Source organism: Homo sapiens, chromosome 14 (genome assembly GCF_000001405.40).
Source record: "Homo sapiens chromosome 14, GRCh38.p14 Primary Assembly".
Lineage (NCBI taxonomy): Eukaryota > Metazoa > Chordata > Mammalia > Primates > Hominidae > Homo > Homo sapiens.
Window position 1 is genome coordinate 24,358,308 of NC_000014.9, and position 22,021 is coordinate 24,380,328.

General features: G+C 51.0%; 1 protein-coding gene and 1 long non-coding RNA gene across 10 annotated transcripts, besides 3 other annotated features; one reads left to right on the top strand and one right to left on the bottom strand.

The window, feature by feature from the left end:
- Nucleotides 1-7,208: 7,208 nt before the first annotated feature.
- On the bottom strand, nucleotides 7,209-11,078 carry LOC124903291 (uncharacterized). The gene is made up of 2 exons (XR_007064085.1): nucleotides 10,940-11,078; nucleotides 7,209-8,220 (listed from the first exon to the last, which is right to left on the bottom strand). It is a non-coding gene; the product is annotated as an uncharacterized LOC124903291 (long non-coding RNA).
- Nucleotides 8,308-8,617: a silencer, noted in NCBI's record as "silent region_5640". NCBI's record gives its function as "represses an Ori minimal core promoter by ATAC-STARR-seq in GM12878 lymphoblastoid cells {active_cell/tissue: GM12878}" and the evidence as "EXISTENCE:reporter gene assay evidence [ECO:0000049][PMID:35858748]".
- On the top strand, nucleotides 8,604-21,297 carry NFATC4 (nuclear factor of activated T cells 4). Of its 9 annotated transcripts, none has more exons than NM_001320043.2 (11): nucleotides 8,604-8,907; nucleotides 10,005-10,133; nucleotides 11,192-12,287; nucleotides 14,134-14,296; nucleotides 14,864-15,063; nucleotides 15,388-15,560; nucleotides 16,019-16,159; nucleotides 17,353-17,408; nucleotides 17,668-17,794; nucleotides 17,987-18,571; nucleotides 19,331-21,294. In NM_001320043.2, exons 1-11 carry the CDS (start codon nucleotides 8,748-8,750, stop codon nucleotides 19,396-19,398), a joined length of 2,898 nt encoding a protein of 965 aa, NP_001306972.1. In that variant the 5' UTR covers nucleotides 8,604-8,747; the 3' UTR covers nucleotides 19,399-21,294. The 9 variants fall into 9 exon arrangements, with proteins under 9 accessions (NP_001306972.1, NP_001185896.1, NP_001129494.1 ...); NM_001198967.3 differs by having other exon boundaries at nucleotides 17,987-18,247; NM_001136022.3 differs by having other exon boundaries at nucleotides 17,987-21,294.
- Nucleotides 10,336-10,715: a silencer, noted in NCBI's record as "silent region_5641". NCBI's record gives its function as "represses an Ori minimal core promoter by ATAC-STARR-seq in GM12878 lymphoblastoid cells {active_cell/tissue: GM12878}" and the evidence as "EXISTENCE:reporter gene assay evidence [ECO:0000049][PMID:35858748]".
- Nucleotides 11,678-12,521: an enhancer, noted in NCBI's record as "H3K27ac-H3K4me1 hESC enhancer chr14:24839191-24840034 (GRCh37/hg19 assembly coordinates)". NCBI's record gives its function as "activates a minimal SCP1, AML or CMV promoter by ChIP-STARR-seq in naive H9 embryonic stem cells {active_cell/tissue: H9 hESC(naive)}" and the evidence as "EXISTENCE:reporter gene assay evidence [ECO:0000049][PMID:30033119]".
- Nucleotides 21,298-22,021: the final 724 nt, after the last annotated feature.

Consider the following 22,021-nt stretch of genomic DNA (forward strand, 5'->3'; position numbering starts at 1 on the left):
AACTTAGCCGGGCATGGTGGCGGGCGCCTTTAATCCCAGCTACTTGGGAGGCTGAGGCAGAGAATGTCTTGAACCTGGGAGGCAGAGGTTACAGTGAGCTGAGATCGCGCCACTGCACTCCAGCCTGGGTGACAGAGCGAGACAATAAATATAGTCCCTGTTGAAACAATTTTCACTGTTTTCTTCTTGCAGAGGAGAGAGCGAAATCTGCTTTGCTATTATAGCTCAATTCCTTAGGCTCATCCTCTGACTAGGATAAACCAGAAGGTGGGAAGCAAAAACATCAAAATAAACAGGAATGATGCCCAGAAGGAGCCATGGGAACTTTCTAAGGCAAAATCTGGAGAATTCTATGTGACCATGAACATGAATGTTACGTGGTCATGAATTTAATTGGATCATGGATTTTATCCAAAAAGACAGAACATAATTTTAGAGTGGACCAAATTAATTGCACTAATGGTCTACAATGTATATTTCAAGTGCTTGGCCCACAACAAAGCTCAACATCTGCCCTTTTAAAAGTTTCAATGGGGTCGGGTGTGGTGGCTCACACTTGTAATCCCAGCACTTTAGGAGGCCAAGGAGGGCGGATCACTTGAGGTCAGGAGTTTGAGACCCAGCCTGGCCAACATGGTGAAACCCCGTCTCTACTAAAAATACAAAAATTAGCTGGGCGTGGTGGCACACAGCTGTAATCCCAGCTACTTGGGAGGCTGAGACAGGAGAATCGTTTGAACCTGAGAGGCAGATTTTGTGGTGAGCCAAGATCGTGCCAATGCACTCCAGCCTGGGCCACAGAGTGAGACTCTGTCTCAAAAATAAATAAATAAAAATAAAAATAAAAATAAAAAAACTCATTGGTCTTGCCTTTTGCCTGATGGTCCAGGAGAAGCATAGTTATTGCTGACACTAAGACCTAAGAGAAAAAGTGTCCCTGATCACAGAGTGAGCACTCTGAGTAGTTGCCATAGGTAACCATAAACAACATCTTTAAAATAGATAACAGTGAATCTCACAGAGCTGTTTCTTTTTAACTATGAAAAGAACTTGTTTTGTTCTGTGTAGTACAGAATGAGGGTAATTATGTAGTAGATCAAGAATATCCTACAGTACATGTAAAAATCCTGTGCATGTACTTCGTAAATCTAAAACAAACATTAAAATTATTTTTAAAAAAAGAAGAAAAAAGAATATCCTATAGTAGAAGAAAGAGACAAAAGAGAAAATATTGGTAACTGGAATCTATGGGTAATCCCAAAACCCCATTTCCCTAGTTTGCAGAGGCTGCTAGTTGAGTCCAACAACCTTTCTCGCCATCTTCCTTAGTAATAGATCCTGTCATTTTTTAGCCAGACATACGTCAACTTGGAATAAATACATTTTCTAGCCTCTGTTGCAGCTATATGTGGCCATGTGACTAAATTCTGGCCAATCGATAGTAAATATAAATGGTGTGTGGGGGAAGAGAGTTTGCATTTTTCTGCTTTTTCTCTTCTTGTTGGTTTAAACATGGATGTGACGGCTGCACCATAAGTGGTCATCTCCCATGCAGTGGGATGCTAAGGATGGTGCAGCAGTAAGACAGGAGGAGGTTGATAAGACCATATCTTGTCAACTTTTCAATCGTCAATCATGATCTTCATCAATCTTTGTATCCCAGAGCCTAGCATGGTGTATGGCACATAATAGATGTTCAATAAATGTAAGAGACTGAATATACAGATGGAAAATGGCCATATATAAAAATAGAACCCTGACCCACAATATGCAGCAATTAGTCCAAGAAACTAACCCATTATCTATCATGACCAGCCCAGGAAGCCAACTGCCTAAAAGTCATGCCTGTAATCCTGGCCCTTTGGGAGGCCGAGGTGGTCAGATCATCTGAGGTCAGGAGCTCGAGACCGGCCTGGCCAACCTGGTGAAACCCTGTCTCTATTAAAAACATGAAAAATTAACCAGGAGTGGTGGCAGGCACCTGTAGTCCCAGCTACTCAGGAGGCTGAAACAGGAGAATCGCTTGAACCCAGGGGGCAGAGGTTGCAGTGAGCCAAGATTATGCCACTGAAATCCAGCCTGGGTGACAAAGCGAGACTCTGTCTCAAAAAAAAAAAAAAAAAAAGTCAGACTTGTGAAAAGTCAGATCACTATCTCTAGCAACCAGCCCAGGAATCCAAACAACAACCCTTGCAAAAATCTGCTCCAAAGAGCCAGGACTTGATTAATAACTGACAGCTTTTTAAATTTTTGTCCCCTCTTCCAACTTAGGATCAATCAGAGAAAGCCAAATATGCATTCCTAACCAATCTTGTATGATGCACCATTTCTATAATATTTTTTTCTTTACTCCATTTTGCGGGTGAAATGATGCCCCACTTCTAGTTAGGCCACACATGACTTCCCCATGCCACAGCCTCCAGTCAGGGCATACCTGAAGCCTTCCCTTTGTCCACTATAAAGCTTTCCCACTCCTCTGCCTGCTTTTGAGTTTCTGCCAAAATGCAAGTGATGGTGGCTGACTAACTTGTGATAGAGAGCTCTGAATAAATAGTATTTGCCTGTTTTCATTGGTTAGCCTTCATTTATTTCCACAGGTATTTGCTAATTAGATCAATCAAAAAGTAAAGATGTAGGTAGAGAAATAAGACAAGGTACCTCTCATTAGAGAATTGCCACTCTAGTGGGGTACTCAGACATTAAATAAGTACTTACACAGTTATTTATTTATTTTGAGACAGAGTCTCACTCTGTCACACAGGCTGGAGTGCAATGGCATGACCTCAGCTCACTGTAATCTCTGCCTCCTGGGCTCAAGTGATCACCTGCCTCAGCTTCCCAAGTAGCTGGGACTACATGTGTGCACCACCATGCCCGGCTAATTTTTATATTTTTTGTAGAGATGGAGTTTCTCCATGTTGCCCAGGCTGGTCTCAAACTCCTGGGCTCAAGTGATCTGCCTGCTTCAGCCTCCCAAAGTTCTGGAATTACAGGTGTGAGCCACCGTGCTCAGCCTATGCAGTTATCTTATTATAATTGGGATGTGTGTTATGAAGATCTGAGATGGTAGCTGAGATGTAGAGATGAGTAGAAGGTAGTCAGGCAAAGGGGGTTGTGTAGAAAGAGAGATCTGGGCAGGAAAAACAGCATCTGCCAAGTACTGGAAGCAGGAAGAACTTGGTACATACCAGGAACTGAAAATGCCCAGCACCATGCAAAGGCTGTGCATCAGGTCTTGCTGACTAGTTCCCTAGAAACACTCTGGTTCCTATTCTTCCTGAAGCCTGACTGATTCTCCTTTTCTTTGGTTCTGTGAGGTCTGCCTTTATAATATTCTTCTTTTGCTTAAGTTACAAGAAGTCAGTTTGCGTTGCTTCCAAGCAAACGTCTCCTATTGATAGAATTGCTCTATTACATCTCTTGAATTATTTTTGTTAAGCTCTTTTATTATTGTGAAACTTTTCATGTGTTTACGTCTTATCTCCCAATTAGATAGTATGTATCTTAATGGAGCCACTAAATTTTGGGGGTGATTTGTTATATGGCATTTGTTCACACTTGAGTTCCAGGATCTAGGTGATGAGATCTAGGCTTTTGAGCCTGAGCTTGGTACCACAATGGGATGAGGCTTCAGGGTCTTGTAGGGTGGGGATGAGTATGGGAGGAATGTGAACTGTTCTGACCAGAGGGCAGACTGTGTTAGATTGTGTTTCCCAAAGATGGTCACATGTGTATACCCCATTCTCCATGCTCTTCATACGGTATATCTGATACTGCTTCCACCTAGAGGTGTGAGTGTATGTTCTCACCCCTCCATTCTGGCCAGGGACTGTGACTGTCTGATCAATGGAGTACAGCTATGTGACTTTCAAGGCTAGGTCATAAAAAGGAGGTAGATTCTGCTTGGAGCTCTCTCTCTGTCTGTTGATACTTGCCACGTTGTAAGGAAGCCCAAGCCTCATGGAGCAGTCATGTGTATACATGGTACAGCTGGTTGCCCTAGCTAAAGTCTCAGTCAACAGCATAAACTGCTAGACATGGTGATTCTAGCTCCCAGCCTTCAAGTTCTCCACCAGACATTGCTGAGCAGATAGAAGCCTTGCTCACTGCATCATCTGTATTTTTTACTCAGAGAAATCATGAGGGATAATGATCATTGTGGTTTAAAGCTATAAAGTTTTGGAAGTGATATGTTATGAAGTAATGAATGATACATTATATGAAAACTTGGAATGTTTGTGTTTAACATTTTTCAACTGAGACACTTGAAAGCTATTAGCTTCAATCCTGGAGAAATAAAGACACATTGAAAATAAATTTCTGGAATTTATTGTGAAATTGGGCTTTTATGAATCTCATCAATCTTATCCTTAGGTTTAAGATTTTTTTGCCCTAAGGCCAGGCACAGTGGCTCATACCTGTAATCCCAGCACTTTGGGAGGCTGAAGCCAGAGGATTGCTTGAGGCCAGCAGTTCCAGACAGCCTGGGAAGCACAGGGAGACTGACTCAACAAAAATTAAGACACACCTGTAGTCCTAGTTTCTCAAAAGGCTGAGGCAGGAGGATCACTTGAGCCCAGGAGTTCAAGGTTACAGTGAGCTATAATTGTGTCACTGCACTCCAACCTGGGCCACAGAACAAGACGTTGTCTCAAAATATGTATGTATGTATTTTTCTAGAAATTTATATATCTGTTACTGCATGGGAAAAAATTTTTCAAAATTAAAATTAGCTTTCAGCCATAAAAAGGAATAAAATACTGATACATAAAACAATATGGATGAACCTTGGAAATACTATGCTCAGTGAAAGAAGCCAGACACAAAAGGCTACATATTGTATAATTCCACTTACATGAAATGTCGAGAACAGGCAAATCCATAGAGACAGAAAGTAGATTCATGGTTTTTAGGGGTTGGAGGAAAGGGAGAATGCGGAGTGACTACTAACTAATAGGTATAAGATTTCCTTTTGGGATGATGAGAATGTCTTAGAATTAGATATGGTGATAATTGTGCAACTTGGTGAATATACTAAAACCCACTGAATTGTACACAAGAGTCAATTTTATGGTATGTGAAAGGTATCTCGGTAAAAATTAAAATTACCAAGAAGTTTTCTTTGATCAACTAGGAGTGGGAGAGATCCACAAATCTGTCTATATGGCCTATTGAAGATATGTACATGAAGATCTTTTTTTTTGTGACAGTCTCGCTCTGTCTCCCAGGCGGGAGTGCAGTGGTGCAATCTCAGCTAACTGCAACCTCCACCTCCCAGGCTCAAGCAATTCTCGTGTCTCAACCTCCTGAGTAGCTGAAATTTCAGGCATGTGCCACCATGCCTGGCTAATTTTTTTGTATTTTTAGTAGAGACAAAGTTTCACCATGTTGGCCAGGCCGGTCTGGAACTCCTGGCCTCAAATTGATCTGCCCGCCTTGGCCTCCCAAAGAGCTAAAAATCAATTTTGATAAGGTCATTGACAACTTTGTAAAACTTAAGACTCAAAACAGAATTCGTAGTGTTATTTTTCATCCCTGTGATCGACCAATATAAGATACGTATTTCCTTTTTTAAAAACAAAAAGTGGGCTGGGCTCGGTGGCTCACACCCATAATCCCAGCACTTTGGGAGGCCAAGGTGAGTGGATCACTTGAAGCAGGAGTTCGAAACCAGCCTGGACAACATGGTGAAACCCTGTCTCTACTAAAAATACAAAAATTAGCCGGGTGTGGGGTTACAGATGCCTTAATCCCAGCTACTTGGGAGGCTGAGGCAGGAGAATCACTTGAACCTGGGAGGCAGAGGTTGCAGTGAGCCGAGATCATGCCATTGCACTCTAGCCTGGGCAACAAAGCCAGACTCCATCTCAAAAAAAAAAAAACCCCGAAGTATATTAATATAACTGAAATTATTTTAACCCGTTGCTTTTCCCTTTCTTTACTGTGTGTGCATATGTGTGTATATACACAATAAAGAAACTTTTTTTGTGTGTGTATATATATATATACTGTGTATACATATATACTCTATATATACACAGTGTATACATATATACTCTATATATACACTGTGTATATACTGTGTATATGTATATACTGTATGACTATATATATACATTGTGTATATATACTTTATATACATGTATATCTGTGTATACATATATACAGATGTACAGATATATATGTATACATGTACATATATATCTGTACATGTATACATATATAGTATATATATAGTATATCTGTACATATATAGTATATATATAGTATATCTGTGTATATGCTATATAGTATAGTGTATAGTATATCTGTGTATATATAGTATATCTGTACATATATACATATATAGTATATATATAGTATATCTGTGTATATGCTATATAGTATAGTGTATATCTGTGTATATATAGTATATCTGTACATATATACATATATAGTATATATATAGTATATCTGTGTATATGCTATATAGTATAGTGTATATCTGTGTATATATAGTATATCTGTACATATATACATATATAGTATATATATAGTATATCTGTGTATATGCTATATAGTATAGTATATAGTATATCTGTGTATATGACCTCAGGCAATCCACCTGCCTGCTTTGGCCTCCCAAAGTGCTGGGATTACAGGGGTGAGCCACTGCACCCGGCCTTTTAAAATTTATTTTTAGTAGAGACAAGGCTGGCCTCTTCTCTTCAATTACATTCTCTGTGGCTATACAGATGGTCTCAGTAGGATAATATCCCAGTTGCTCAGAGTGGTGACCTGTTCTGTAGCACACCCTTGGACTGGCTTTTCTTCTTTCCAGTTTCACTTTTTCCATTCTTCTCTTTCTGTTCCTTCTGATTGCTTTTCACTATAAACTACCTACATCCTGTTCTTGTCTCAGGCTCTACTTACTGGAGGAGCCAAGCCTGGGACAGATTCCTGTGTAAAATGTGATGGAATGAATTAGCAAACTTGACAAGGACCCAGGAGGCCTGGGTTCCAGATCAACTCTATTGCTAACCTGATTTGTAAAAGTCACTTTATCTACTGAAAAGGTGGGCATTTTCATCATCATTTTCAGATGGTACTATGGGAGAAGATCTTCCAACCATTTGTTAAGTGAGGAAAAAAAAAAGCAAGAAAAATGCTTGTCACGCGCATAAAAAGAGCATGTGTGTGTGCGTACATGTTAATAAAGGCATACAAAATGGTGGACCATCAAGGTTTACTACATATTTTTGTATAGCTTGAATTGTTTACAAGAAGAATGCATATTAATTAGCTTTATTTAGACCTCTGGGGAAAAGAGAAGACTGCATCTTGTGTAATTAAAAAAAGAAATAAATAACATCCACCTCCAAGGAAGTTGAATGATGCTTGTTAAAGTGCAGAGCAGAAGCCACCAACCAAGGTAAGAAAGCCGGGTTGTGCTCCGGTATGTGCGCTAGGAGGCAGCGGAGCTGAGACCGAGGCCAGGCGGCTAGAGAAACCGCGAACCAAGGACGGGGGGGCTGGGTCTTTCTGGTCGCCAGGGGGCAGAAGTGTAGGGCAACTTAAATCCGCAACTACCCGCTGTTGCCCAGGCTCCAACGCCAGGCCGAGCATTTCAGAAGTCATAAGTTCCATCTCTCTGCCGCAGCCGAGACAGATTGGAGGGTTTTCAGAGTCAAGGGGATGCCCCCCCGCCCCCCGCCTCAGAGAAGCTTGGCACTCTGAACAATCTCAACCACTCTCCCCTCTGCTCCTCCCTTCCCTACCCCCCAACACCCATGAAGGGGAAATTGAGTCATGGGAGGAGAGGCCAGAGTCATCAGGGGAATGAGGGCCGACGCCAGCCCTCAGGGCCTTCCAGATGCTAGGAGGAGGAGGGTTCTCCAGGAAAACAAACAGGGGTGAGAGGGGAAGGCGGTTGGCTGGGCAGGAGCTGAGCCAGACACATGGAGAAACGCTGCCCAGGATCAAAGGAAATATGACATTTGAAAAGAATGTGTGCGTCTGCATGTGCTGTGCCTGCGGGGAGTGGGGCCGGGGAGGGGCAGAGTCTGGGGGAACAGGGGCTGGGCCTCGGGGTCTCTATCCCTGCTTTTCTCGCCTCCGCTTCCCACCTCCCTTGCCCTCTTAGGTACAGGCTGGTTGATGGGTCGAGGTGTTCCTCGTCCTCCCTCCCCGTGGGTTTCTCCTTCCTTTATTTCCGAGATGAAGCTGGAAGGGAAATGTAACCTGAGGAGACCAACCAAAGGAAAAAAAAGAAAAAAAAAAGAAAAAAAAAAAAAAGAAAGAAGAAAATCAAACCAGGCCGCTTCCCCGCTCGGCCTCGGAACATTCTTCTCTCCCCGCCGGCCTGGGCTCTTCTCCCCGCCCCTCCTGTGTTGCGGCCCTGGGCTCGGAGCCGGGGCAGCTCCGCACGTCACTGGGGTCCCCGGGGACTGGGGGGGTGGTCCCCTGGGCGGGCCCGAGGGAGGACCGAGGGGAGGGAGGGAAGCCGCCTCGGCCGCTGCGGAGCTCCGGCCCGTCGGGCCAGCCCTCCCTTCTTTCCCCAGTCCCGTAGAGCCTGTTTCTCATTAGAGTAACGGGCGCGGTCCCCGCCCGGCTTCTGAGTGTTTGTAAACGTCTGACCTGGGGCCGTCGCTTAACCGTTTAGTTGCTGGGATGGGGCGGCGTTGGGGGTGCGGCCCTGAACCGGAGGGATTTAGAGACTGGAGACGCGGCCTCTAAGAGAGGTTGAAACTGTGTGTGTGTGGGAGAAAATGATAACCACCCTCCCATCTCTCCTACCCGCCAGCCTCGCCAGTATCTCCCACCGAGTCACGAATCTCCCATCTAACTCCCTCTCACACAACCCAGGCCTCTCCAAGCCTGACTTTCCCGGAAACTCCAGTCCAGGTCTTCCTTCCTCCTCCAGCCCAGGTGACAGGTGTCCAGCCTGTTGGGGGCGGGGGGGCCAAGGAGGGGGAAGAGGAGGGGAACCCACAGGGTCCGGAGGTTTCAGGCCCCTAGTAAACCTGGCAAGGATTTTTAGAAGAGCCGGAGTGGGATGCTATCGGGTCAGAGATTCATTCCAGACTACAGTTCTAGGGAGGAGGCTGCCAACTTCCCGTGGAGGCTAATTCACGGCCCCTCTGGGTGGCTGGGACAAGGGCAGCGGCAAAGCCTGGCCTGGATCTACGCCCATCAAGGGCTGTGGGCCTAGGGACAGTTCTCAAAGCCTCTTTGGCTCGGACTGCTCCCAGAGGCATCCAGGCTGGCTAAGCGTTCTTCATCTTTGGGGGTCCTGGAGGAATGGCTGATGGAGGCGCTGATTCGGCAGCGCAAAGACTTCCAGAAGGCCCGGGCAGAGTAGCCCCAGGCAAGGGAGGCGGAAGAATAGCCTTTTCCTCTTCCGAGCAACTCGGTGCCACTCTGCCCCCAGGACCCTCCTGGCCTCAGGCTTGGAGGGAAAGGGGAGGAGAAGTGGTTCTGCCTTGCTAGGTGCTATCTACACAGTCTTCAGAATTTAAAAAAGGGTCTTCCGTGGGCTCTCTACCCTGGGGGCCCAGGATGTGGCCCCTTTAAGGCTCTCGGACCCAGAACCTTGAACTGAGACTAGGGGAGGTGGGGGCTGGGCTCTCTGCGGGAAATGATTGTCACAACGGCGGACCAATAGGCAACATTAGTATCACTCTTGAAGGACCGTTTTCCAATTCAGTTTTTTTTTTTTTGAGGGGGAGGGACTGAAGAGAGGACAGAGGGAGGGAGGGTGGGGGAGGACGAGGGGCGCGTGGTTTTCCCATCTCATCCCTGGAGGAGGGGCTGGAGCATCCCCGGCAGCCAATCAGGGACAGGCTGGGGGGGGGACCGCTTTGAAGAAGTTTGGGGGAAAAAAGTTTGGAAAAGTTTCTATAATAACGAGGGGGCTTCTGGAGGGAGGCGGCAGCGACGGAGGAGGGGGCTTCTCAGAGAAAGGGAGGGAGGGAGCCACCCGGGTGAAGATACAGCAGCCTCCTGAACTCCCCCCTCCCACCCAGGCCGGGACCTGGGGGCTCCTGCCGGATCCATGGGGGCGGCCAGCTGCGAGGATGAGGAGCTGGAATTTAAGCTGGTGTTCGGGGAGGAAAAGGAGGCCCCCCCGCTGGGCGCGGGGGGATTGGGGGAAGGTTAGTGCTGGGCTGGGAAGGGGTCTTGGGGTCAGTGAGAGGAGGGCCGGGGATCCTGAGTCTGGGGAATTTAAGGCAGCGAGCCTAGGGTGGGGGGTGAGGGAGTCAGAGGTCGAAGGGAGTCGGGGGGACTCGTTGGCCTGCGGAAGTGAGGCTGGGGGCCCGGGCACCACTTTCTCCTTTTTAGGTCGTGACTGGGGTGGGGGTGGGGGTGCTGTTGGCTGTGCGCCGCCTCCCGGCTGGGCCGCCTGTCACTGAACTGGGGGGCGGGCGGGAACTACGGCCCCAACAGCACCAGGCGCCGCCAGGGGAAGGGGAGGTTTGGCGCTGGAGCTGGCCCCTGGCGGACCGAGCTCTGGCCCGGCCGACTGGACGCCCGGGGCTGGGGGCGCTGTCAGGCCTCGCTGGGGCGCCCCTCCCCCTCCCCCGTCTGGCCGCAATGAGAGGCAGATGGCGGGGACCGAGCCGGGGGCGGCGGCCGCCGCTCGCACGAATCCGCGCTGCCCGCTGCCCCCCTTCCCCCGGCTGGGCCCAGCACGCATCACCCCCTCGGCTGCACCTCCGCCCCTAGATGGCGAGGAGAGAGGGAGGAGCCACCTCCCCTCGTCACCACAGCCCTGACGCCCCCCTCCCCTCTGGCCACGGTTGCGATGGCAACTGGGGCTCCTGCCAGCGCCGTTTGGGGGTTTGGGAACCGCTGCTAATTGGGTTCATGTGTGAGTCGCCCCCAGTCCAGCCCAGTGCCTCAAGAAACACGCCTCCAGGCCCAGCCCCAGCTCCAGCCCCTCTGGACCCACCTCTCTCACCTTAAGACCCACTGGATCGGGTACCCTCGGTCCTAGGATCCAGGGGCCAGTGGGCAAAGGCCTGGCATGCCTGCTTCAATCTCCTCCATCTTCCCAGGTCCAACTCTGCTTTTGTCTTGTGGCTCAGAAGGTCTCTTTGCTGAGGGGCAGGGAGCATAGAAGGACTTGCGGCCTGGCCACTCAAGGAACATAGCCATCTCACCTGCTTCTCTCTTTCCCCCTCTCCCTCTGCTCCTCTTCCCATTTTGACAGAACTGGACTCAGAGGATGCCCCGCCATGCTGCCGTCTGGCCTTGGGAGAGCCCCCTCCCTATGGCGCTGCACCTATCGGTATTCCCCGACCTCCACCCCCTCGGCCTGGCATGCATTCGCCACCGCCGCGACCAGCCCCCTCACCTGGCACCTGGGAGAGCCAGCCCGCCAGGTCGGTGAGGCTGGGAGGACCAGGAGGGGGTGCTGGGGGTGCTGGGGGTGGCCGTGTTCTCGAGTGTCCCAGCATCCGCATCACCTCCATCTCTCCCACGCCGGAGCCGCCAGCAGCGCTGGAGGACAACCCTGATGCCTGGGGGGACGGCTCTCCTAGAGATTACCCCCCACCAGAAGGCTTTGGGGGCTACAGAGAAGCAGGGGGCCAGGGTGGGGGGGCCTTCTTCAGCCCAAGCCCTGGCAGCAGCAGCCTGTCCTCGTGGAGCTTCTTCTCCGATGCCTCTGACGAGGCAGCCCTGTATGCAGCCTGCGACGAGGTGGAGTCTGAGCTAAATGAGGCGGCCTCCCGCTTTGGCCTGGGCTCCCCGCTGCCCTCGCCCCGGGCCTCCCCTCGGCCATGGACCCCCGAAGATCCCTGGAGCCTGTATGGTCCAAGCCCCGGAGGCCGAGGGCCAGAGGATAGCTGGCTACTCCTCAGTGCTCCTGGGCCCACCCCAGCCTCCCCGCGGCCTGCCTCTCCATGTGGCAAGCGGCGCTATTCCAGCTCGGGAACCCCATCTTCAGCCTCCCCAGCTCTGTCCCGCCGTGGCAGCCTGGGGGAAGAGGGGTCTGAGCCACCTCCACCACCCCCATTGCCTCTGGCCCGGGACCCGGGCTCCCCTGGTCCCTTTGACTATGTGGGGGCCCCACCAGCTGAGAGCATCCCTCAGAAGACACGGCGGACTTCCAGCGAGCAGGCAGTGGCTCTGCCTCGGTCTGAGGAGCCTGCCTCATGCAATGGGAAGCTGCCCTTGGGAGCAGAGGAGTCTGTGGCTCCTCCAGGAGGTTCCCGGAAGGAGGTGGCTGGCATGGACTACCTGGCAGTGCCCTCCCCACTCGCTTGGTCCAAGGCCCGGATTGGGGGACACAGCCCTATCTTCAGGTGAGGGTTGCGCCTGGCACTACCGCTCTCTCTAGCCATTCCAGTAGGGGAGCAGGAGGGTCAAGGGATGGATTTGAAGACACTAGTTTCATGCCCTCTGAATTTCAAAAGAGTATCTGCAACCAGCTCAGCAGCTGCCAACTACCTGGTTTTAAAGAGAACTAGAAAAAAAAGTGCACCTCTGGATGATTTACAAGAGGGCAACAGTTCCCTGTGGGACAATTAGAAAAAGCCCCTCCACCCTCCCACCCCTAGCTATTGTAGGAGGATCAACTAGGTTAAGGAGGTGTTCCTGTAGCCTATAGAGTGCTCCCAAGCCCCCGCTCTGCACTGGCATGTGGCTGAGTGTGGAACTTGGGCTGGATTTCAGCCTTCCACTCTGGCCCTTTCAATAGGTGCCAGACCTAAGCAGATTTCCACTCTGTTGCAGGAAATTCCCCTTCTGCATTCCTTAATTTCTAGAGCCTGACCTACTAGCTTAAAAGTATAGCTGCTAACTTGAATAAAATAGCATATATTTGCAAGTCAAATAATTCATATTAAAACTTGCAGTTCTATTCCTTCCACCCTCAGAGAATCTTGCCCATTTCAATAATCTTAAATCTTGAGATGTTAGACTGAGCTGGCTCTGTCCAGAAAAGTTTCTAGGGGAAAGAAACGTTAACACTGGTACCCCTGGGTTTCCCATAGGGCAAAGTTTCTCAACCTCAGCACTGTTAATTCAGCACTACTATTTTGAGCAGGATAATTCTTTGTTATGTGGGGGTGTACTGGACATTGTAGGATGGTTTAGCAGCTTCCCTGGCCTCTACCCGTTAGATGCTAGTAGCACCCACTCCCCTAGTTGGGAAAACCAAAAATGTCTTCAGACATTGCCAAATATCTGGGCAATTACTTGGGGGGCAATTACCAGTTGAGATCCACTGTCCTAGGGTATCAGGGAGCACAATACAGGATAAGTTGTCCCATCTGAAACCCTTAGCTCCCTGGAACTCCACCTATCAAGCCCCAACTAGTGGAAAGGGAGCTGGCTTGAGAGCAGAATGTGCTCAGTCCTAGGTCTGTCAGTAGCTGCTGGCTTCAGTTTCTTTCTCTCTCTCTCTTTTTTTTTTCTTTGAGACAGTGTCTTGCTCTGTCACCAAGACTGGAGTGCAGTGGTGTGATCTCACTCAGCCTCAACCTCCTGGGCTCAAGCAATCCTCCTGCCTCAGCAGGAGTAGCTGGGACTACAGGAGCACCAACTCGCCCAGCTGCTTTTTGTATTTTTTGTAGAGACGGGGTTTCACCATGTTGCCCAGGCTGGTCTCAAACTCCTGGGCTCAAGCCATCCTCACACCATCCCCTACCCCTGCCTTGGCCTCCCAAAGTGCTGGGATTATAGGTGTGAGCCAACGCACCTCAATTTTTTAATTTGTAAAACAAAGGGTTCATATCTGAGGCCTTTTCTGGTCTGAAGCGGCACTTCTTTTTTCTTTCCATCCAGGTCTAGGGATTGAGATGGGCTTGAGAATCCTCTGTATCCAAGTGAAGCCTTTCCACCCCAACCCCTGCGCTCAGAGCTGGGAAGAAGGGAGTTTTAGGCTTGTTGTCATCTTTCACACCTCAAGGGGCTCTGTCCCCTACTTCCCCTTGCTTCTGGACTTTTGGATTTCTTCATTTCTTTGTCCTTTTTTTAGTTTAAAAAAAATTCTTTTTTCCCTTCTTTTCACAAGTGTTAATGTACTTCTTTATTTCTTCTGTGCTTTCCTTTCTCTCAGACCCATACCCCCTCCTCCCTCACAGATCCAGTACGGGCCTGACTGGGGTCTGAGGCTGCACATGATCAATGCTCTTCTCTCCCACCCAGGACCTCTGCCCTACCCCCACTGGACTGGCCTCTGCCCAGCCAATATGAGCAGCTGGAGCTGAGGATCGAGGTACAGCCTAGAGCCCACCACCGGGCCCACTATGAGACAGAAGGCAGCCGTGGAGCTGTCAAAGCTGCCCCTGGCGGTCACCCCGTAGTCAAGGTAAAGGACAGACAGCAGGCCTGATATCCTCTCTCCTCTCCCAGATAGGTTCCAGCTATGCAGACACATGGCACTGCCCTTTCCCACACTCCCTCTCAGCTCTGACCCTGCAGGCAGCCTGGGGGAGGGGCTGGAGTTGGGGGAGGAGGGGTGCAAGGACCCGGATATACTTTCTACTCCTGTCCTTCCACCCCCACTCAGCTCATCCCATGGGACACCAGCCTCATGTCTACTCTGGAAAATGGTGGCCCGCCAGATATGGGGGAGGGTTTAGGCTGAGGACAAAAGTCACTGGGAGTTAAGTTTTCTCTGTATTGAGTTGGGCCAGTCTCTTTGGAGGCTCTTCTGCCTTTGCCCAGCCCACTTTGGGCTTTATTCCAAGAAAAACACTGTGAACTCCAGGCCATGTTTTCTCCACAACGGGTGCCCAGTTCCCCAAGGGATTCCCTTGCAGGATATCCTTTATCTTTCACCATTCCCATCCCATGGTAGACTGAAAATCTAGGGATGAATAAAGGATGAGACGGTGGGGATTTCAATGAGGTGGCCGCTCTCTCCCTCTGCCAGCTCCTAGGCTACAGTGAGAAGCCACTGACCCTACAGATGTTCATCGGCACTGCAGATGAAAGGAACCTGCGGCCTCATGCCTTCTATCAGGTGCACCGTATCACAGGCAAGATGGTGGCCACGGCCAGCTATGAAGCCGTAGTCAGTGGCACCAAGGTGTTGGAGATGACTCTGCTGCCTGAGAACAACATGGCGGCCAAGTAAGTCCCATGCAACTTCCCCTCAGTCCGCAGGCTTTGTACTAGCTTTCTCCACTGGGCCTATGCTAGCCCACTTCTTCCTTTTCCCAGAAGAGGTAGACATTTTTCCTAGGAGCTGGCTTCAGGCCTACCCACCATCTGGAAGAGGACTTTTGGGGTTGGGGGTACCCCAGAGAGGCCATCTCTGGGTTAGAAAATAGCCTCCTAGGCACTCATCGAAAGTCATTCAAGGCTTTGGATGGAGGGCGGGAACTTCCCTCTTTAGGGATGTATCACCATTTTGGCTTCAGCTAGGAGGGCTTGCCATCCATCCTTTGCCTCCAGCATTGACTGCGCGGGAATCCTGAAGCTTCGGAATTCAGACATTGAGCTTCGGAAGGGTGAGACGGACATCGGGCGCAAAAACACACGTGTACGGCTGGTGTTCCGGGTACACGTGCCCCAGGGCGGCGGGAAGGTCGTCTCAGTACAGGCAGCATCGGTGCCCATCGAGTGCTGTGAGCAAAGAGGCCCTGGGCCATGTCTCTGTCTCTTGCAACTCTTTTGTCTGTGTGTGTGTGTCTGTCTGCCCATTCCCTCTGCAGCGTCCTGTGCCCTGTCTGTCCTGGGTAGCTCTATAGAGGACTCAGCTTCTTTCTATTCTAGTTTGCCCCTGCCACAGACTCTGTCTCTGGGGTGGCCCAGAGTGACACTGGACCCTATCTATTCCTGGGGTGCCCTGTGCCCTTGTTTGGGAAACTCCCTGGTCTACCCTGTTTAACCCTCTCTCTGCTCTGGGAGCGGCCCCTTACATGGTGTATGTGACTCCATGGATATTACTGGTTTATTTGTGTGTCTACTGCTGAGGAGGGCTCCCTCAGAGCCCTGTGGCAGTTTTCCCAAAGAGGGTGGGGACAGAGGAGGCCACCCCTCCATGCCCAGCCCAGCCAGTCCTCTTCCTTGCACTGCTCTGCAGCCCAGCGCTCAGCCCAGGAGCTGCCCCAGGTGGAGGCCTACAGCCCCAGTGCCTGCTCTGTGAGAGGAGGCGAGGAACTGGTACTGACTGGCTCCAACTTCCTGCCAGACTCCAAGGTGGTGTTCATTGAGAGGGGTCCTGGTGAGTACCTGCTGGGGAGGGGAGGGCAGGCAGGGAGAGCTTGGGAGTGGCAGGTGAAACATCTCTGGCATTGTCACTAAACTGGCCAGTGGAGCCTCAGTTTTTTTATTTGTAAAATGGGACAGACAGACTACCCTTTCTATTATACTGTCTGCTTTCCATGTGGGATGGGTATGACAGCAATCTAAAATGTTGAGGATGCTGAACAAATGGAAGCAATGCACATTCTGTCTAATAAAGAGGAGTCTGCTTTGAGATAATTTACCCCCATGTAGATAGGGTATATGAGGAGAAGGGAAGAGGTGATTTACACCCTCACAGCTGCCCGCTGGGCCCCTCTTGAGTTATGGGCAGTGATTAACAGAGCCTGTTAGGTGCCCCAAGATGGAGCTACAGGAGTGGAGGAAGGGAAGACTGAGGGTTTGAGTTGCCAGCACCAACCTGAGGCCTTTGCCCTCTCCAAACGCTGCTCACCAAGAGCCTCAGTCCCTATATTCTTTTTTTTTTGGTAGCAGGATCTCACTTTGTCACCCAGGGGAGTGCAGTGATGCTGCAATCACGGCTCACTGCAGCCTCAACCTCCTGGGCTCAAGCAATCCTCCAAAAATATTCTGTGTAGAGACAGGTTCTCCCCATGTTGCCCAGGCTGGTCTCAAACTCCTGGACTCAAGTGATCCTTCCACCTTGGCCTCCCAAGGTGGGAGTGGTGGGTTCTGGGATTACAGGCATGAGCCACTGCCTCTGGCCCCTATATCCAAATTTAGCATCCTGGGACCATGTCAGAGCTTCTCCAGAGGTTCTAGGTCATGATACTTGGGGGTCTCATTGCGTTCTGTCGAGCTAGGACCCTTTCCTACCTTTGGTCTTCCTTCTCAGCATTATCATGGGAAAGGATGTTTGGAGCTGGGTGGGAGGGCTCAAGGGTTGCTTCCGTTACTGACTCCCTCTGGTTTCTGGGCTGGCCCTGCCATTTCCCTTGGTCTCAGTTTGCTTCCCTATACCTTGAGGACAGTTTTAAACCCTACCTCTTCCACTCATATTAAGTTAACATGCAGTGGGCTCCTCTGTGTGTCAGACCTTCTAGGGCCTTCTGAATTTGGCCTTGGCTCTAACAGGAGGGGAAATGGCAGAGAACTAGGGCAGGGGACAGGGGCGCTGGAGTTGGGCTGCAGCTCTCTGTTCCCTCTGGACAGATGGGAAGCTGCAATGGGAGGAGGAGGCCACAGTGAACCGACTGCAGAGCAACGAGGTACCAGTGTCACTTGGATACCTCCTGGGGGGCGGGGGTGGGAGAAGGCAGGGGATTCTCAGCTGGGTCCTCTTGCTCAGGGGAGTGGACTTTTCTGGAGGAGGGAGACTGGCCATTCTGTAAGCAGGTGCATCTCTAGGGAATGAACTTTGCATCTTAGAAAATGGAGAAGGCTAGGAGGTGGAGTCTGGGCCCCTGGAAAGGCTGGGCTAAGCCCAGATGCCCGAGGGCTCCCTGCCTCATTTTTACTCTTCCCTAGGTGACGCTGACCCTGACTGTCCCCGAGTACAGCAACAAGAGGGTTTCCCGGCCAGTCCAGGTCTACTTTTATGTCTCCAATGGGCGGAGGAAACGCAGTCCTACCCAGAGTTTCAGGTTTCTGCCTGGTGCGCTCTGGGACAGCCCATGGTGGGGGTATAGGGATATGGGGAGCTGGAGCAGGAGCAGAGGGAAGCAGTACTCATCATGAGGGGCCAAGGGGTGAATGGAACCTGGGAGGAGCAGGCAGCTGGAAGGTGTGCAGTGGGGAGACTACCAGACCTCTCACCAGCATGTCCTCCCACTTCCTGTCTTCCCAGTGATCTGCAAAGAGGAGCCCCTACCGGACTCATCTCTGCGGGGTTTCCCTTCAGCATCGGCAACCCCCTTTGGCACTGACATGGACTTCTCACCACCCAGGCCCCCCTACCCCTCCTATCCCCATGAAGACCCTGCTTGCGAAACTCCTTACCTATCAGAAGGCTTCGGCTATGGCATGCCCCCTCTGTACCCCCAGACGGGGCCCCCACCATCCTACAGACCGGGCCTGCGGATGTTCCCTGAGACTAGGGGTACCACAGGTTGTGCCCAACCACCTGCAGTTTCCTTCCTTCCCCGCCCCTTCCCTAGTGACCCGTATGGAGGGCGGGGCTCCTCTTTCTCCCTGGGGCTGCCATTCTCTCCGCCAGCCCCCTTTCGGCCGCCTCCTCTTCCTGCATCCCCACCGCTTGAAGGCCCCTTCCCTTCCCAGAGTGATGTGCATCCCCTACCTGCTGAGGGATACAATAAGGTAGGGCCAGGCTATGGCCCTGGGGAGGGGGCTCCGGAGCAGGAGAAATCCAGGGGTGGCTACAGCAGCGGCTTCCGAGACAGTGTCCCTATCCAGGGTATCACGCTGGAGGAAGGTGGGTGTGGGACTGGGGGCTGTGAGTGTGAGTGTGTGCAAGAGATTGCTCTGCATGTTTGCTGAGGGCTGGAGCTGGGCTTTTCAGAGATCGGGCATCCCTGGTCTCTCAGGGCCAGTTGGAGGTTCCCAGGAGGCATGTTCTTGATGCCTGTGGCTGCCTGAATCCAATTAACTGAATTCTGAAGAGTGCATGGGGTAACTGTCTCAGCCTTTCTCCTGTCTCTGCCTCTGTCCTCTGCTCCAAATCATAAAATCTCAGAGCTAGAAGCACTTTCAAGATCATTCCATCCAGCGCATTCAATTTGCAAGTTTAGGCGTTGAGTTCCAGAGAGGGATGGTAGCTTGCTGAGGTCCCAGTCAAGCACACTTGCCATTGCCTCAGCTTTCCCCTAAACACGGTGTCTGTGGTCAGGGTTGGTGAGGAGGAGCTTTCCTGTTTTGCCTCTCCTTCTTCCCATTGGCTACACCCATCTCTGGCCCTGCTGATACCGATTCCCCTGACATTTCAGGCTAAGCCAGCAGGAAAGGGCTAGGACGGGTGCCTGGGAGCCCACATGGAGGGAGTTGGGCAAGATTTGATTCGGAGCAGGTGTCAAGACGTGTTGGGGAAACTGAGGCCCAGTGGAATAGAAGCCAGTAGAGGAGGAATCTAGAGGCCTCCTAGATTAAGACCTGCCTGGAATGGATTGGGGGTGGGTCTTTGGAAAAGGAGGGGACCCACCTCTAGCCCAGTCTCTCAACTGCCCCTCCTTTACAGTGAGTGAGATCATTGGCCGAGACCTGAGTGGCTTCCCTGCACCTCCTGGAGAAGAGCCTCCTGCCTGAACCACGTGAACTGTCATCACCTGGCAACCCCAGCCCCAGCCTCAGCCCTGCCCCCTTTCCCTCCTTCCTGGAGTGGTGGCTACAGAAGCTTGGGGCCAACCCTGGCTCCTCTTTCCCCAGCTTCTGTCTGTCTCACTGTCTTCCCTCCCCTCCCCCAGCTGAGGTGTGGCCCTCAGGCCTGGTGCTGCCTTGGAGGGCTGGGGGAAGGAGTGTGTGGAGGAGGGAGGAGGGTGAAGACTGAGGCTAGGTGCCAGAATGGACTGGAGTGAAGGCGTGTCTAGAGTGTGGGCTGGCTGTTGTGCTGGAAAGCTGGGGACAGGTTGATGGTAATAAACTGCTCAATGACCAGTGCTTCAGGCTCCAGAGCTCTTTGGAGAGATGGGTTGGGGCAGCTTACTCCAGCCCTGGCCCAAGGAGGCCCAGAAGTTGGAAAGAGATGGAATGTGGCTGGGAACATTGCATCCCAAAGAGCTTCTCAGTGGAGGAGGCTGGGGAAGGCATGAGGGGGCTCAGAGGCTCCTTGACTGGGACCAGGATTGGGGGCCAGGGCTTGAGTAGGCCTCTCCACTCTCCTCCTTGGGGGTCCAGATTCCTTAGGAGCTTTGGGATGAGGCCCAGGAGGCTGCATTTTTCCAGGTCCTTAGTCTTGCCACCACACAGATGATTCTGATTCATAGCCAAGATGAGGACACACTGATGTAGCTGATCTCTCATTTACAGAGGAGGATTCTAAAGTTCAGAGAGGGAAAGGGGCTTGCCTGAGGTCACGTAGATAATCAGCAGCACATTGAACGCTGCACTCCTGGGCTCCTGTCCCCAGCCCCCATTCAGACACGCTGACTCAGGAGGTCCAGGCCTCTAAGGCTTCTCTCCCTGGAGTGAGGGTGGAGGTGAGGGAGAGCTGGCACAAGCCCTCCCTCTGGATCCTCCACTCCTGGGGATTATGAAGATATTCTGGAAAGATTTGTGCTTCAGAGGTAGACTGCAGAAAGCAAACAGTCTACCCAGCAGCTCTGAATGTCACCTGCCCTGGGGCTTACAGCACTATATGAGTTCCTGGCCTATCCTGCAAATATGCCCATGCTGGCCTTCTAAATAGCTGGTACATCCATCACCACTGACGGGCCTGGCCTGGAAACCTGGTTTGTCCCCTGTCTTGATGGCCTACGAGAGGCCAAGTTCCACTGGGCTGGGAAAAGTCACTTTGTCTGTCTTGTTCACCTGGAGCCTGACACACCGTAGGTACTGAGTACAAATAGCTTGATTTGGCTAGGCTTGGCTGCAGGGGGACGTGCCTAAAAGACATTCCGGGCATTTGCACTTGGGAAACTTGCCTCACCTTCAGGCTTGTGGGGCCTCTCTATGCCCAATGAGTCCAGGCAGTCCTAGCAAGTACTCAGGAGAGCAGGGGTGGGTGTGACAGAGGCTGGCTCTGGATTGGGGGACAACAGAACCAGAGTAACTCCTCGCCTGTTGCTGCTTTGCAATGAATTTCCTTTACCTTTCTGGAACACAAGCTGCTGTGAACCAAACTGATATCAAGTGATTAGCTCACCGGGCCTTGGTTGCTTTTCAAAGATCCCCTTCAGCCCCCTGCCAGAGTCACTGCCCCATAATCACCATGTCAGAAGGGACCCTAGGGCATTCGTGTCCTATTTATCAATCTTCAGCACCACCTCTAAGATCTCTGAGAGAGGGTGGATCAGCCTCTGTGTAAACAAAAAGCTGTTAGGACTTGTTGCCTCTCAAGGTGGACTATTCTGTTTTCTGCCAGGACACTGCCATTCATGCATTGTCAGATATTTATTAAACAGCAGCAAAGTGCCAGCCAATTTGTCCTGGAGGAATTCATAGCCTCATGGGGCAAAAGTAAATAAACAGCTTATTACAATTCAACAATTCAAACTCAATATTTTTTGTACAGAGAGTACATTAGACCTTGAGGAGTCAGTGAACAATGTGTGTGTGTGTGTTTGTGTGTGTGTGAGAGAGAGGGAGAGATAGAGAGAGAGAAAGAGAGAGAGAGAGACAGAGAGAGAGGGAGAGAGATGGGGTCTTGCTCTAGTGTCCAGGCTGGAGTGCAGTGGCAGGATCGTAGCTCATTGCAGCCTCAAATTGCTGGGCTCAAGCTATCCTCCGGCATTAGCCTCCCAAAGTGCTGGGATAATAGGCATGAACCACTGTGCCTGCCTTCAGTGAACAACTTTTTTCTTTCCCTGCTTGCTCGTTCATCCACCGCCCCCCTCTCGGGTAGTGGACTCCCCACCAAGGCACGCAACCCCATCCACTCCGTCCCACAATGAACAATTTAAGTATGAGATGCAGAGGGAACAGAGGAGAGGCATTCCATCCAGCTGTGGGGGTTGCAGGGAACTTCAGGGGTGACTTCTAAACTGGGACGTGAAGATGATAAGCTAAGAGTAGGGGAAGGGCAGGCCAGGCAGAGGGACCAGAAGAGGCAAAGTCCTGGAGGGGAGTGGCAAGGAAGGAAGGCTGACCGATCTCTAGGGCCTGGTATATCTGGAGAACTCTGAAAGGTTCCACTTCGAGGGTGGGAAGGCAGGTGAAGTTCTGGAAGTGGGGGGCTATAAGAAGGGATTGCGGAGGGAAGCCAGGCTGAATT